Raw genomic sequence first — 16,250 nt, 5'->3', positions numbered from 1 at the left:
AAATAAATAAGAGAATCATAAACATGCACAAAGATGTATATACACAGCATCACTTATAATAGTAAAAAGTTGAAAGTGACCCAAATTTCTTTTTTTTTTTTGGTCATCTAATTATTTTAATGGCAATACACACTATCATCTGGATATAAAAAGTCAAGGACAAGTTCATCCTATGAAATGCTAGGCCTTGGGTCTTCTCAAATTTGTGCCACACTAGCAAAATATCTTGTCCTTTACAGAATATAGCATAACCCTAGCCAGCTACACAGGAAATTGAGAAATAAAATACAGGATTTCCATTATTAAAGCAAGAGTGAACTGTGTTGTTGATAATATCACCAGGTTAATTAAGGATTATTAGTAATAAGAAAATAATAGGTACTTTTAAAATTCTGTCACCACTGCAAACAGATTTATCAGATGTTGGTTCAACAATATAGAATAATCTTAATATTACAAGTTTCTAATCTAATACCAATATATTATTACTATTATTTTATTAATACCATCTATGCATAGTGACTACATTTTAATGTCTTTTCTTTGGGGCTTTTTTTTTTGAGATGGAGTCTCACTCTGTCGCCCAGGCTAGACTGCCATGGCGTGATCTTGGCTCACTGCAACTTCCACCTCCCATGATCAAGCGATTCTTCTGCCTCAATCTCCTGAGTAGCTGGGATTAAAGGTGCATACCACCACGCCTGGCTAATTTTTGTATTTTTTGTAGAGGTGGGGTTTCACCATGTTGGCCAGGTATCTCAAACTCTTGACCTCAAGTAATCCGCCCACCTTGGCCTCCCAAAGTGCTGGGATTACAGGTGTGAGCCACTGTGCCAGGCCTTTAAGACTTTTTTTAATGCATAGGGTTTTATTTTTGTTTTACATAATTATATCCATTTTTTTTTTTTTTGACAGAGTCTTGCTCTGTCATCCAGGCTGGAGTGCAGTGGGATGATCTCAGCTCACTGCAACCTCTGCCTCTCAGGTTCAAGCAATTCTCCTGCCTCAGACTCCCAAGTAGCTGAGATTACAGGCACCTGTTGCCACACCTGGCTAATTTTTGTATTTTTAGTAGAGATGGGGTTTCACCATGTTGGCCAGGCTGGTCTCGAACTCCTGACCTTATGATCCACCCACCTTGGCCTCCCAAAGTGCTGTGATTACAGGCATGAGCCACTGCACCCGGCCTTATATCCATTTGTTATATGCAGTTTTAATCTTTTTTTTCTCATTACTATTGTATCATAAGCATTGTCTACATTAAACATTCTTTGTGAACATAGCATTTTATGACTAGAAAATGTTCCATGGAAGGGTTATGGCCATGGGTTATTTAACCAAACATTTAAATCTAAACATTTCTATCTCACTGTTGCTTATGCTGTTGTAATATTGGTCTTGTTGGATAAAATCACCCCTCCCCAACCCCAGCCCATCACCAAACTTTTGGGTTACTTCATGAAACTATACATTTAAATGTGTAATTGACTGCTGAAAGGGTATAACCATTTTAAGGTATTCAACACATTTACAAATTACTCTCTCATGCAAGTAGTAACCAGGCTCCATTCTGCTTAGCTTCAGAGATCAGAAAAGATACAAATTATTCTATTAAAATGTGTATGCCAATTTAAAATGATCTGCAATCTAAATTGGCAGAAAATACCCATTTTGCTACACTTTTGTTAATATGCATTTTTTTATTATACTTTAATTTCTAGGATACATGTGCGTAACGTGCGGGTTTGTTACATAGGTATACATGTGCCATGGTAGTTTGCTGCACCCATCAACCCATCATCTGGGTTTTTGGGTTTTTTTTGTTTTTTTTTTTTTTGAGATGGAGTCTCACTCTGTCGCCCGGGCTGGAGTGCAGTGGCACAATCTCGACTCACTGCAACCTCTGCCTCCAGGGTTCAAGCGATTCTCCTGCCGCAGCCTCCCAAGTAGCTGGGATTACAGGCGCCCGCCACTACACCCAGCTAATTTTTTGGATTTTTAGTAGAAACGGGGTTTCACCATGTTGGCCAGGCTGGTCTTGAACTCCTGAGCTAGTGATTTGCCCGCCTCAGTCTCCCAAAGTGCTGGGATTAAGGCATGAGCCACGGTGCCTGGCCACGTCATCTAGGTTTTAAGCCCCACATGCATTAGGTATTTGTCCTAATGCTCTCCCTCCCCTTGCCACCATCCCCTGACAGGCCCTGGTGTGTGATGTTCCCCTCCCTGTGTCCATGTGTTCTCATTGTTCAACTCCCATTTATGAGTGAGAACATGTGGTGTTTGGTTTTCTGCTCCTGTGTTAGTTTGCTGAGAATGGTGGTTTCCAGCTTCATTCATGTCCCTGCAAAAGACATGAACTCATTGTTTTTTATACCTGTGTAGTATTCCATGGTATATATGCACCACATTTTCTTTATCCAGTCTATCATTGATGGGCATTTGGGTTGGTTCCAAGTCTTTGCTATTGTGAATAGTGCTGCAATAAACATACCTGTGCATGTGTCTTTATAGTAGAATGATTTATAATCCTTTGGGTATATCCCCAGTAATGGGATTGCTGGGTCAAATGGTATTTCTGGTTTGAGATCCTTGAGGAATCACCATACTGTCTTCCACAATGGTTGAACTAATTTACACTTCCACCAACAGTGTAAAAGTGTTCCTATTTCTCCACATCCTCTCTAGCATCTATTGTTTCCTGACTTTTTTTTTTTTTTTTTTTGAGATGGAGTCAAGCTCTGCCTCCCGAGTTCACACCATTCTCCTGCCTCAGCCTCCCGAGTAGCTGGGACTACAGTCGCCCACCACCACACCCAGCTAATTTTTTTGTATTTTTAGTAGAGACAGGGTTTCACCATGTTAGCCTGGTCGGTCTCGATCTCCTGACCTGGTGATCCACCCTTCTCAGCCTCCCAAAGTGCTGGGATTACAGGCGTGAGCCACCACGCCCAGCTTATTTCCTGACTTTTTCATGATCACCATTCTAACTGGTGTGAGATGGTATCTCATTGTGGTTTTGATTTTTATTTCTCTAATGACCAGTGTTGATTAACTATTTTTCATATGTTTGTTGGCCACATAAATGTCTTCTTTTGAGAAGTGTCTGTTCATATCCTTTGCCCACTTTTTGATGGGATTGCTTGTTTTTTCCCTGTAAATTTGTTTAAGTTCCTTGTAGATTCTGGATATTAGACCTCTGTCAGATGGATAGATTGCATAAACTTTCTCCCAATCTGTAGGTTGCCTGTTCCCTCTGATGGTAGTTTCTTTTGCTGTGCAGAAGCTCTTTAGCTTAATTAGACCCCATTTGTCGTTTTTGGCTTTTGTTGCAGTTGCTTTTGGTGTTTTAGTCATGAAGTCTTTGCCCATGCCTATGTCCTGAATGGTATTGCCTAGGTTTTCTTCTAGGGTTTTTAATTGTTTTAGGTTTTATGTTTCACTCTTTAATCCATCTTGAGTTAATTTTTATATAAGGTTTAAGGAAGGGGTCCAGTTTCAGTTTTCTGCATATGGCTAGCCAGTTTTCCCAACACCATTTATTAAATAGGGAATCCTTTCCCTATTGCTTGTTTTTGTCAGGTTTGTCGAAGATCAGATGGTTGTAGATGTATGATGTTATTTCTGAGGCCTCTGTTCTGTTCCATTGGTCTATATATCTGTTTTGGTAAGAGTACCATGCTGTTTTTATTATTGTAGCCATGTAGTATAGTTTGAAGTCAGGTAGTGTGATGCCTCCATCTTTGTTCTTTTTGCTTAGGATTGTCTTGGCTATGTGGGCTCTTTTTTGGTTCCATAGGAACCTTAAAGTAGTTTTTTCTAGCTCTGTGAAGAAAGTCAATGGTAGCTTGATGGGAATAGAATTGAATCTATAAATTACTTTGGGCAGTATGGCCATTTTCATGATATTGATTCTTCCTATCCCACGATACTGATTCTTCCTATCCATGAGCATGGAATGTTTTTCCATTTGTTTGTGTCCTCTCTTATTTCCTTGAGCAGTGGTTTGTAGTTCTCCTTGAAGATGTCCTTCAGGTCCCTTGTAAGTTGTATTCCTAGGTATTTTATTTTCTTTGTAGCAATTGTGAATGGGAGTTCACTCATGATTTGGCTCTCTGTTTGTCTATTATTGGTGTATGGGAATGCTTGGAATTTTTGTACATTGATTTTGTATTCTGAGACTTTGCTGAAGTTGCTTATCAGCTTAAGGAGTTTTTGGCTGAGACAATGGGGTTTTCTAAATATACAATCCTGTCATCTGCAAACAGAGACAATTTGACTTCCTCTCTTCCTATTTGAATACCCTTTATTTCTTTCTCTTGCCTGATTGCCCTCGCCAGAACTTCCAATACTATGTTGAATAGGAATGGTGAGAGAGGGCATCCTTGTCTTGTGCTGGTTTTCAAAGGGAATCCTTTCAGCTTTTGCCCATTCAGTATGATATTGGCTATGGGTTTTTCATAAATTGACCTTATTATTTTGAGATATTTCCATCAATACCTAGTTTATTGAGTGTTTTTAGCATAAAGAGGTGTTGAATTTTATCAAGGGCCTTTTCTGCATCTATTGAGATAATCATGTGGTTTTTGTCATTGGTTCTGTTTATGTGGTGGATTATGTTTATTGATTTGCATATGTTGAACCAGCCTTGCATCCCAGGGATGAAGCCAACTTGATTGTGGTGGATAAGCTTTTTGATGTACTGCTGGATTCAGTTTGCAAATGTTTTATTGAGGATTTTTGCATCGATGTTCATCAGGGATATTGGCCTGAAATTTTCTTTTTTGTTGTGTCTCTGCCAGTTGTGGTATCAGGATGATGCTGGCCTCATAAAATGAGTTAGGGAGGAGCCCCTCTTTTTCTATTGTTTGGAATAGTTTCAGAAGGAATGGTACCACCTCCTCTTTGTACCTCTGGTAGAATTTGGCTGTGAATCCATCTGGTCCTAGGCTTTTTTTAGTCAGTAGGTGATTAATTACTGCCTCAATTTCAGAACTTGTTATTGGTCTATTCAGGGATTCGACTTCTTCCTGGTTTAGTCTTGGGAGGGTGTATGTGTCCATGAATTTATCCATTTCTTCTAGAATTTCTAGTTTATTTGCATAGAGGTATTTATAGTATTATCTGATGGTAGTTTGTATTTCTGTGGGATTCGTGCTGATATCCCCTTTATCATTTTTAATTGCATCTATTTGATTCTTCTCTCTTTTCTTCTTTATTAGTCTGGGTAGTGTTCCATTTTGTTAATCTTTTCAAAAAACCAGCTCCTGGATTCATTGATTTTTTGAAGGGTTTTTCATGTCTGTATCTCCTTTAGTTTTGCTCTGATCTTAGTTATTTCTTATTTTCTGCTAGCTTTTGAATTTGTTTGTTCTTTCTTCTCTAGTTCTTTTAATTGTGATGTTAGGGTATCAATTTTAGATCTTTCCCATTTTCTGATGTGGGAATTTAGTGCTGTAAATTTCCCTCTTAACACTGCTTTAGCTGTGTCCCTGAGATTCTGGTACATTGTGTCTTTGTTCTCATTGGTTTCAAAGAACTTATTTATCTCTGCCTTAATTTTCTTATTTACCCAATAGTCATTCAGGAGCAGGTTGTTCAGTTTCCATATAGTTGTGCAGTTTCAAATGAGTTTCTTAATCCTGAGTTCTAATTTGATTGCACTGTGGTCCAAGAGACTGTTTGTTATGATTTCTGTTATTTTGCATTTGCTGAGGAGTGTTTTACTTCCAATTATGTTGTTGATTTTAGAATAAGTGCTACCCGATGCTGAGAAGAATGTATATTCTGTTGATTTGGGGTGGAGAGTTCTGTAGATGTCTATTAGGTCCACTTGGTCCAGAGCAGAGTTCAATCCTGAATATCTTTGTTAATTTTCTGTTTCATTGATCTGTCTAATATTGACAGGGGGTTGTTAAAGTCTCCCAGTATTATCGTATGGGAGTCTAAGTCTCTTTGTAGGTCTCTAAGAACTTGCTTTATGAATCTCCTGTATTGGGTGCACATATATTTAGGATATTTAGGATAGTTAGCTCTTCTTGTTGCATTGATCCCTTTAACATTATGTAATGCCCTTCTTTGTCTTTTTTGATCTTTGTTGGTTGAAAGTCTGTTTCATCAGAGACTAGAATTGCAACCCCTGCTTTTTTTTTGCTTTCCATTTGCTTGGTAAATATTCCTCCATTTGTTTATTTTGAGCCTATGCATATGAGATGGGTCTCCGGGATACAGCACACCGATGGGTCTTGACTCTTTATCCAATTTGCCAGTTTGTGTCTTTTAATTGGGGCATTTAGCCTATTTACATAAGGTTAATATTGTTATGTGTGAATTTGATCCTGTCATCATGATGCTAGCTGATTATTTTGCACATTACTTGATGCAGTTTCTTCATAGTGTCATTGGTCTTTCCATTTTGGTATGTTTTTGCAGTGGCTGTTACCAGTTTTTCCTTTCCATATTTAGTGCTTCCTTCAGGAGCTCTTGTAAGGCAAGCCTGGTGGTGACACAATCCCTCAGCATTTGCTTGTGTATAAAGGATTATTTCTCCTTCACTTATGAAGCTTAGTTTGGTTGGATATGAAATTCTGAGTTGAAAATTATTTTCTTTAAGGTTGTTGAATATTGGCCCCAACTCTTTCCTGGCTTACCCTATGGGGTTTCTGCCGAGAGATCCGCTGTCAGTCTGATGGTCTTCCCTTTATAGGTAACCTGACCTATAAAGGGTTGTCTCTGGCTGCCCCTAATATTTTTTCCTTCATTTCAACCTTGGAGAATCTGATGATTATGTATCTTGGGGTTGCTCTTCTCGAGGAGTATCTTAGTGGCATTCTCTGTATTTCCTGAACTTGAATGTTGGCCTATCTTGCTAGGTTGGGGAAGTTCTCCTGGATAATATCCTGAAGTGTGTTTTCCAACTTGGTTCCATTCTCCCCATCACTTTCAGGTACACCAAACAATTGTAGGTTTGGTCTTTTCACATAGTCCCATATTTCTTGGAGGCTTTGTTCATTCCTTTTCATTCTTTTTCTCTAATCTTGTCTTCACGAGTTTTCATTAAGTTGATCTTCAATCTCTGATATCCTTTCTTCCGCTTGATCAGTCTAGCTATTGATATTGGTGTATGCTTCATGAAGTTCTTGTGCTGTGTTTTTCAGCTCCATTAGGTCATTCATGTTCTTCTTTAAACTGGTATTCTAGTTAGCAGTTCCTGTAACCTTTTGTCAATGTTCTTAGCTTCCTTGCATTGGGTTAGAAGATCCTCCTTTAGCTCAGAAGAGTTTGTTATTACCCACCTTCTGAAGCCTATTTCTGTCAATTCGTCAAACTCATTCTTCATCCCGTTTTGTGCCCTTGCTGTAGAGGAGCTGCAATCCTTTGGAGGAGAAGAGGCATTCTGGTTTTTGGAATTTTCAGCCTTTTTGTGCTGGTTTTTCCTCATCTTCATGGATTTATCTACTTTTCATCTTTGATGCTGATGGCCTTTTGATGGAGTTTTTCTGTGGGTGCCCTTTTTGTTGATGTGATGTTATTGCTTTCTGTTTGTTAGTTTTACTTCAACAGTCAGGCCCCTCTTCTGCAGGTCTGCTGGAGTTTGCTGGAGGTCCACTCCAGATCCTGTTTGCCTGGGTTATCACCGGCAGAGGCTGCAGAACAAAAAGATTGCTGCCTGCTCCTTCTTCTGGAAGCTTTGTCCCAGAGGGGCACTTGCCTGATGCCACTTGGATCTATCCTGTGTGAAGTGTCTGTCGACCCCTGCTGGGAGGTGTCTGCAGTCAGGAAGCACTGGGGTCAGGGACCCACTTGAGAAGGCAGTCTGTCCCTTAGCAGAGCTCGAGAACTGTGCTGGGAGATCTTTTGCTCTCTTCAGAGCTGGCAGGCAGGAATGTTTAAGTCTGCTGAAGCTGCGCCCACAGCCACCCCGTCCCCCAGGTGCTCTGTCCCAGGGAGTTGGGAGTTTGATCTATAAGCCCCTGACTGGGGCTGCTGGCTTTCTTTCAGAGATGCCCTGCCCAGTGAGGAGGAATCTAGAGAGGCAGTCTGGCCACAGCTGCTTTGCTGCACTGCAGTGAGTTCCACACCATTCAAACTTCCCAGCGGTTTACTTAACACTGTGAGGGGAGAACTGCCTACTCAAGTCTCAGTAATGGCAGACGCCCCTCCCCCTACCAAGCTCGAGTGTCCCAGGTTGACTTCAGACTTTTGTGCTGGCAGTGAGAATTTCAAGCCAGTGGATCTTAGCTTGCTGGGCTACTTGGAGATGGGACCCACTGAGCGAGACCACTTGGCTCCATGGCTTCAGCCCCCTTTCCAGGGGAGTGAATGGTTCTGTCTCGCTGGGGTTCCAGGCTCCACTGGGGTACAAAAAAAAAAAACAAACTCCCGGAGCTAGCTCGGTGTCTGCCCAAACAGCTGCCCAGTTTTGTGCTTGAAACCCAGGGCACTGGTGGCATAGGCACCCGAGGGAATCTCCTAGCCTGCAGGTTGTGAAGACCGTGGGAAGAGCATAGTATCTGGGTTGGAGTGCATCATTCCTCACAGCACAGTCCCTCATGGCTTCCCTTGGCTAGGGGAGGGAGTTCCCCGACCCCTTGCACTTCCTGCGTGAGGCAACACCCCACCCTGCTTCTGCTCATGCTCTGTGGGCTGTACTCACTGTCTAACTGGTCCCAATGAGATGAACAAGTACCTCAGGAGAAAATGCAGAAATCACCCTCCTTCTGTGTTGGTCTTGCTGGGAGCTGCAGACGGGAGCTGTTCCTATTCAGCCATCTTGCCAGATGAGGTACCTATAATAGTCAAATTCATAGAAACAGAAAGAATAGAGGTTGCCAGGGGCTGGGGATAGAAGGCAGTAAGGAGTTATTATTTAATGGGAACAGAGCTTCTGTTTTGGATAATGAAGTTCTAGAAATGAAAAGTAGTTGGTATGGACTACATGTTTGTGTTCCTCAAAATTCATACATTGAAACTCTCATTTTATCATTTTTAAAGACTAATTTGAAAGGCATGAAATGTTCTTACTTTCATGGCTTTAATTAGTAGGGATATTGAAAAAATTGTCCATTTCTGTTAAGCATAGCATTTCCTCTTTGGGGAAGTTTCTGTTGTGTCTCTTCTTTACTCATCTGTTGGCTTATTTGTTTTTCTTAAAGATTTGTATTAATTGAAATACAATTATACATGGTTCTTTTTTGTTATAATTACTTCAAATGTGTTTTCCTCTTAAGTTTGGGTAAGTTTTTTTTTCTTTTTTTAAGGAAATTTAATTAATTTTTTATTTGTATAGATTTAGGAGTACAAGTGCAGTTGTGTTACATGGGTATGTTGTGTGTGGTAAAGTCTGGGCTTTGAAGTATACTCATCACCCAAATAGTGTATGTTGTACCCAACAGGTTGTATTTCATCGTTCACTTGCCTCCCACCCTCCCAACTTTTGGAGTCACCAGTGTCTGTTACTCTACTCTATATGTCTGTGTGTACCCATCATTTAGCTCCCACTTATAAGTGAGAACATGTGGTTTTTGACTTTCTGTTGCTGAGTAAGAAAATGACCTAAATTTCTAATGAGTGTTGTTAATTAAATTATCTATGATACATCCTTTTTCTAAAATATTATCTGTCAAAAGTGATGATAACATTTATTCATTTTATCATTCAGCAAACCTTTTAGTGCATAAGATCATTCATCCACTGAAAATGGTGATGTAATTTATTAATTTCATCATTCAACAAATATTTGAGTGCATACTATGTGGCAGACACTGTTCTACAGCAGATAAACAATGGTAAAAAATACAAAGGCCCAGAATACATTCCAGCTTTATATTTATTCACATTTTCACAACATATTCTACATGAAAAGGCAGATTTAAAAAGAGCAAACGTAGTTAGATTCTATTTGTATAAAATTTATATAATAAAATATAAAGATTAAAATTGTGAATCTATGCATTTTCCCTAGTGAGAAATATGGATGGATGTTCATGAAAATGTTTATAGTGGTTTTTCTTGGATTCCAGAATTTGGGAATGATTTTTACATTCAACTTAATCATTTCTCTCATTTATTTTAAAGTATTTTTATATTAGTATGAAATAAGATTAAAGATCAAAGCAGGAGACTCTGTCACATTAGTGATATTGACTTGATGAAACCTTAAGTGCAGCACTCACTATGAAATATTATGTCATATGATGTTATAACTCCTTAGCCATAAGTTTATATTAACATATCATTATCTTTTCTGGGTAATAATTTAATTTAATATAATTACAGGATGGAATCAAACAATATGCAAATACTTCAGTGCCTGCTATCAAAACTGCTTTACTCAGTGATTCCTTCCTAGGCCTCCAACCATATGGCCGACAGGTAAGCATGCAAGATGGTGCAGACCTCATTTCCCCGCTGGAGCATTGGATAGTGGAATGCAGTAACTCAGTCATTGTACAGTACTAGAAATGTGTTTGTTTGAAAATAAGCCTACAATTATAATAGTAGGAGAGATTGAAGGGAGTTTCTTTGAGCCTTCATTAAAATTTCAGCCAATCCCAGATAGTTTAATAAAGAAAAATAACTTCTTGAGATACATGAGGAAGACAAATTGCAGAAGTTGAAGTGATCATCTTGTTGGAAAAGAAAATAAGACAGATACAGTACAATAGAACAAGATGGAATATATATAGGATGTTGTATTCTTGGGTTAAAAAATGACAGAAGAATGTCAAATGCTTAGTCTCAAATTTTTAGTTTTTTGAAGTAGTCATAAAATTAACCATACATGACCATCCACCAATACATTATGGTTTCTGTGTTTACATGTACATTTATAACTAGTACATTACTGTTACTTCCCTGAAATGTCGTATGTTTAACTTATGTCTATTTTTGATGACTGGTATTGAAAGCATTTGTACCTTAGAGTAATACTAACTCAAGAAACAATCTTTTTGGCATTTAGGAATGTCAAATAAGTTCAGTTACCCAGCTAAGATAACTGGCTAACTATGAAGCTATTATTGAGAGAAGAGAAATATCCAATTTTATGGAACTGTATACTGAAAGAGATATCTAAAAGCATATGATACCTAGCAAATAATACCATTCATTAGCAAATGACTAGCATTAAATTTTAGAAACACAGTGTGAAAGGGGGAAATGTCCAGTTAGAGATATCAGGGTCCAGTTAGAGATATCAGGCTGCTGCTTTTTTTTTTTTTTTTTTTTTTGAGACAGGGTCTTGCTCTGTCACCCAGGCTGGAGTGCACTGGTACGATAACTCTTTGCAGGTTAAAGGGTGCAAGGGCTCTTTGCAGCCTCAACTTCCTAGGCTCAAGGAATCCTCCCACTTCAGCCTCCCAAGTAGCTGGGACTACAGGCGCACACCACCATGCCTGGCTAATTTTTTGTATTTTTTATAGAGATGAGGTTTCGCCATGTTGCCCAGGCTGCTCTCAAACTCCTGGGCTTGCGCAATTCTCCCACCTTAGCCTTCCAAAGTGCTAGGATTACAGGTGTGAGGTAACAGGCTTCTAATCTTTTTTTATCACAAGTCAGTATTATCTTGAAACCTGGATATAATCACATAATTTCCTTTGAGCCTCTTACCTTATCGGTTAAAAAGAGAGAGAGAGAGAAAGGGATGATGATGATGATGGTGGTGATGACGATGCTATCTTGTCATATTCAAGATTTTTGTAGGAAACTAAAAAACTTTTAGAAACCAAAGATATTTTATAAATATAAATGTAGCTTATAATGATTTCTGTTTAAAGTATACATGTTGAATTACTTTAGCAATTTGTAAAGTAATAATACACTGACATTTTGTAAATGTAGATGCCCTATACAGTTGTTCCTCAGTGTCCACTGTGGGGTGGTTCCAAGACTTCCTGCAGATACCAAAATCTGAAGATGCTCAAGTCCCTGATATAAAACAACATGGTATTTGCATATAACCTATCCACATCCTCTCATATACTTCGAATCATCTCTAGATTACATATATTACCTAAGTATACTATAGCAGAAGTAAATGCTATGTAAATAGTTATACTGTATATTTTATTTGTATTATTTTTTGTTGATTTTTAAAAATATTTTTGATCTGCAATTGGGTTGAATCTGCAGATGCAGAACCTGTGGATGTAAAGGGTTAACTGTATATGAATTTGTTTTAGATAGATTTTGCACATTGAAGAATTATAATGAATCCAAATGCAAAGTTACTCTCCCCCTAAAACTTGATTTACAGTCAAATTGAATATATAAAGATCTTTCCTAAGCACTAAATTTACAATCAAATTGAATATATAAAGATGACTGAATAGCTGTCAATATATCTGTAAAGCTTTTGTTGACATTGATTCACTGAGAAACAGAATATCACCACCCTCACGTTCCCACCTCACCTCCTCCCTGCAAACCAGGGAATTTAAACATTTTGTCAAGGCTATGGAAGAAAATATACTTACTTTATCATAAATATTTTTATGAAAATGGACTAAGGTAGGTTGATAATAATTTGTGGTACCCAGTTAAAAGGTGACCTGGGTACATTCAGTTGGTAAAAATTCATATCATTATAAACTTGTGATGTGCACTTTTCTTTATGTGTGTTATACTTTAATAAAAATTTAAATGAAGAGGCTGATAGAAGACATCTTATCTTCAGTTTATTTCCTAAAGCAAACATTTCAGAATTAACTTTGAAAATTGCTTTTTTTAGCCAACCTGGTGCTACTCAAAGTATATAGAAGCCTTAGAACAGGAGAGAATTCTTCTTAAGATCCAAGAAGAACTAGAAAAAAAGTTGTTTGCAGGTAATTTTTGCCTTCTGCCTACAAGTTTACTTTTTTATCTTTTATCACAGATTAATTTTAGAAGACTTTGCCAATATTTACTTTACTGTTTTTCTTATCTCTTTTATTTTTGTGCAGGCTTGCAACCTCTCACAAATTTTAAGGCTAGCTCTTCAACTATGTCTTTGAAAAAGAATATGTCTGCCCACAGCAGCCAGAGTGAGTTTCCAGTGTAGTCTATCTTCAGTTGTTTCTTTCTTTTTGATGGAGTTTTGCCTCTCACCTGGCCATTCAGAATGTACAGGGAGGAAGGGGTGAGGACCGACCCCTCCACCCTATTCTGCCCCCCAACTTAGGAGAATTTCTCCGTGTGTGTGAGTCCTGCTTCTCTCTGTCTCTGTTCCTCTCCTCTGCTAAGGAGGAAAGACTAAATATATACATAAAACTTCATGTCTTTTCCAGAGTGACAGCATTCTTGTGAATGTTTACATCCTGCTGCTGATAGGTTCAAGGTACGTCATAGTCTGAATGTTGGTTGGTCCCACACATGTCCTCGTAATACACTCATTCATGTACATGCACGCATGCACACACACAGCATACCACACATATAACATGTCCCACTAATAAGTCGATGGGGAGGAGAGCCTTGCCTCCCTTTTGAATGGCACAGTCTCCTAAGAAGTAAGGCCTCTGGAGAGTGATCATGTATTGCTTTTATTTACTCCTTGTCTGTTTTCTTCTGCAAAGAACATGTATGGAAGAATGGGCTATGGCTCAGTTTTCCCAAGATTTTCTAAGCTGGGAATATTAGAAGGAACTTAAAATTAAAAAAAAAAAGAACTAAAAATTGAGGGCCCTTCTCTCACACAGATTCTGAGGTGATTATACAGTTTTGATTGGATACTAGTGTTAGAGTTTAACAAAGCCTTACAAAGTAGTCTAGTAATGTAGTATAATGTGTAATTCATTGACCTAATACTTGAAGAACCCAGTTAAAAGTCCTGTTTCTTTTATATTTTGCTTGTAGATTAGCTTTTTGGTTTCTTAACATCCTTAGTTTTCTGGTTCTTGGGAGGTTTGATGAGTAGGCCTTAATGTTCTTAGCCCACTCATTTTTTTCTCTTCTAGTTTACCCTAGCCTCTATACTCTTTTGCCCATTTCTCCACCCCTCAGGCCAGCCTCATAGTCTCCCTAACATTTGCTGACACTCCTGCTCACATTTTGATCCTTATGACAACTGTATTAGTCCGTTCTCATGCTCCTATGAAGAAATACCCAAGATTGGGTAATTTATAAAGGAAAGAGGTTTAATTGACTCACAGTTCCATGTGGCTAGGGAAGCCTCAGGAAACTTACAATCATGGCTGAAGGGGAAGCAAACATGTCCTTCTTCAAGAGACAGCAGGAGAGAGAAGTGCCAAGCAAAAGGGGGAAAAGCCCCTTATAAAACCATCAGATCTCATGAGAACTCACTCACTATCATGAGAACAGCCTGAGGGTAACCACCCCCATGCTTCAGTTGCCTCCCACTGGGTCCCTCCCATGACATGTGGGAATTATGGGAACTACAAGATGAGATTTGGGTGGGGACACAGCCAAACCATATCAACAATTCTATATAAGTTTTTTGTTGTTTTGCATTTATATTTGTATTTATATTTTCTATAGATGTTTATATTTTCATCCATTTATGTTTCCTTTGCAGGAATTCTTTAAACCAGATTCTGCTGACATGAGAAGCTCCAGTGATTTGTTTTTTTGAAGGTCTGTATCAGAGCAAGCCTAACATCTAAATAAAGTTTGATTCTGGATTTTCCAGGTGGGAAATAAATAAAGAAAATTTGGCTTGTCTTACTCTCGCAGTTTTAAAATTATAGCTATTCTGTACACATGACATACAAGACTATAAGAACTGTTTAACTTATTTAGAATAAAACAACTACTATCTAGGTTTGAAGAACCAAAATGTTTTGCTTATCACAGTCATTAAGGAAGTATGATGCTATGTTCCTCAAGTCATCTTTCAACAAATATTCCTTGAGCATGTACTGTATTTGGTTAACAGATGTATTCAGCAGGCGATTAGGGGACAAATATTCCAAGTGGTAAATTGTCCCAAAACATAAAAGGAAGAGTTTTCCCTACCCCATCCCCAACTCTAAAGGAACTATATTATTATTATTATTATTATTATTATTATTATTATTATTATTATTATTATTTGAGATGGAGTCTCACTCCGTCGCCCAGGCTGGAGTACATTAGCACGATCTTGGCTCACCACAACCTCTGCCCCCTGGGTTCAAGCGATTCTCCTGCCTCAGTCTCCCGAGTAGCTGGGACTACAGGCATGTGCCACCATGCCTGGCTAATTTTTGTATTTTAGTAGAGACAGGGTTTTGCCATGTTGGCCAGGCTGGCCTCAAACTCCTGATGTCAAGGGATCTGCCTTCCTTGGCCTCCCGAAGTGCTGGGATTACAGGCATGAGCCACCATGCCCTGCCAGGAACTATATATTAAAGCAGTGGTTCTCAGACTTTAGTGTGCTTAATACTCACTTGTGACATTTGCTAGCAATGCACATTCCTGAGCCCCCTCCCTGAGTGTCGCATTCAGTAGTTCTTGGGCTGGACCCAGGAATCTCACTCTTTAACAGACACCTGAAGTGATTCTGATGCAATGTTCCATAAACCACTGTTTGAAATAAACTGTTAGGGTAGCAAGAAAAGAGTGTCAAAAGGTAAAAGCCACCTTATTAACTGGAACTATACTTGTGGCAAAGAGAACCCAGACATATACCCTCCTATACTTTTCCTGGAGGAAAAGGAGAGTGTGTAAGAAATGACCTGGGAGAATCATCTGGGGGCCTCATGACTCAAGAGCTCTGAGGATATGACCTAGATCACCAGATTGGAAGCACTGGACTTCCAGTTTTGTATAATCCCAGTTTCAAAGTAGAAACTGCCTCTCCAGATTCTCTGAAGAGTTAGATATTTTAAATGGGTAAACTATTAGGAGATCTACTTCAGAGATCATTTTTTCTTCTAAAGCAGTGGGTTTTCAAAATTTTTTTTTTTTTTTTTTTTTCTGATCATGGGAACCCTGTAGTTTCCTGTGCTCCTACAGTGCCACATACCCTGTAGTGTAGTGGCCATGAAGTTTCCTTTTCTTCTGACTTCTACTCTTGTGCTGCCTTCTCTGGTTTTAATTGAGCATTTTATATGATTCCATTTTTTCTCCTCTCTTAGCATATCAATTATACTTTTTACATTTTTCTTATTCATTGCCCTAGAGTTTGCAATATATATTTACTACTAATAAAAGTCCACCTTCAAATGACACAATAGTGCTTCATGAGTAGTGCAAGTACCTTATAACAGAGTGTTCCCAATCCCTCCCTCCTCTCCCTTATCACAATGTTGTCATTCATTTCTCTTATCCATAAG

At 38.7% G+C, this 16,250-nt stretch overlaps 1 protein-coding gene across 12 annotated transcripts in view; it reads left to right on the top strand.

The window, feature by feature from the left end:
- The window catches only part of RGS22 (regulator of G protein signaling 22), a 145,114-nt gene extending 130,344 nt beyond the window's left edge, over positions 1-14,770 (top strand). For all 12 annotated transcript variants that reach the window (NM_001286692.2, XM_017013310.3, XM_017013309.3 and 9 more), the window contains 5 exons: positions 10,276-10,371; positions 12,728-12,821; positions 12,939-13,019; positions 13,263-13,312; positions 14,510-14,770. In NM_001286692.2, coding sequence (NP_001273621.1) covers positions 10,276-10,371; positions 12,728-12,821; positions 12,939-13,019; positions 13,263-13,267 — 276 coding nt within the window. In that variant the 3' untranslated portion in view covers positions 13,268-13,312; positions 14,510-14,770. The remainder of the gene's footprint in view (positions 1-10,275; positions 10,372-12,727; positions 12,822-12,938; positions 13,020-13,262; positions 13,313-14,509) is intronic.
- Positions 14,771-16,250: the final 1,480 nt, after the last annotated feature.

This window comes from Homo sapiens, chromosome 8, assembly GCF_000001405.40.
Source record: "Homo sapiens chromosome 8, GRCh38.p14 Primary Assembly".
NCBI lineage: Eukaryota > Metazoa > Chordata > Mammalia > Primates > Hominidae > Homo > Homo sapiens.
Note: the sequence above shows the minus strand (reverse complement) of the source record. Positions and strands in the feature narration are given on the sequence as shown.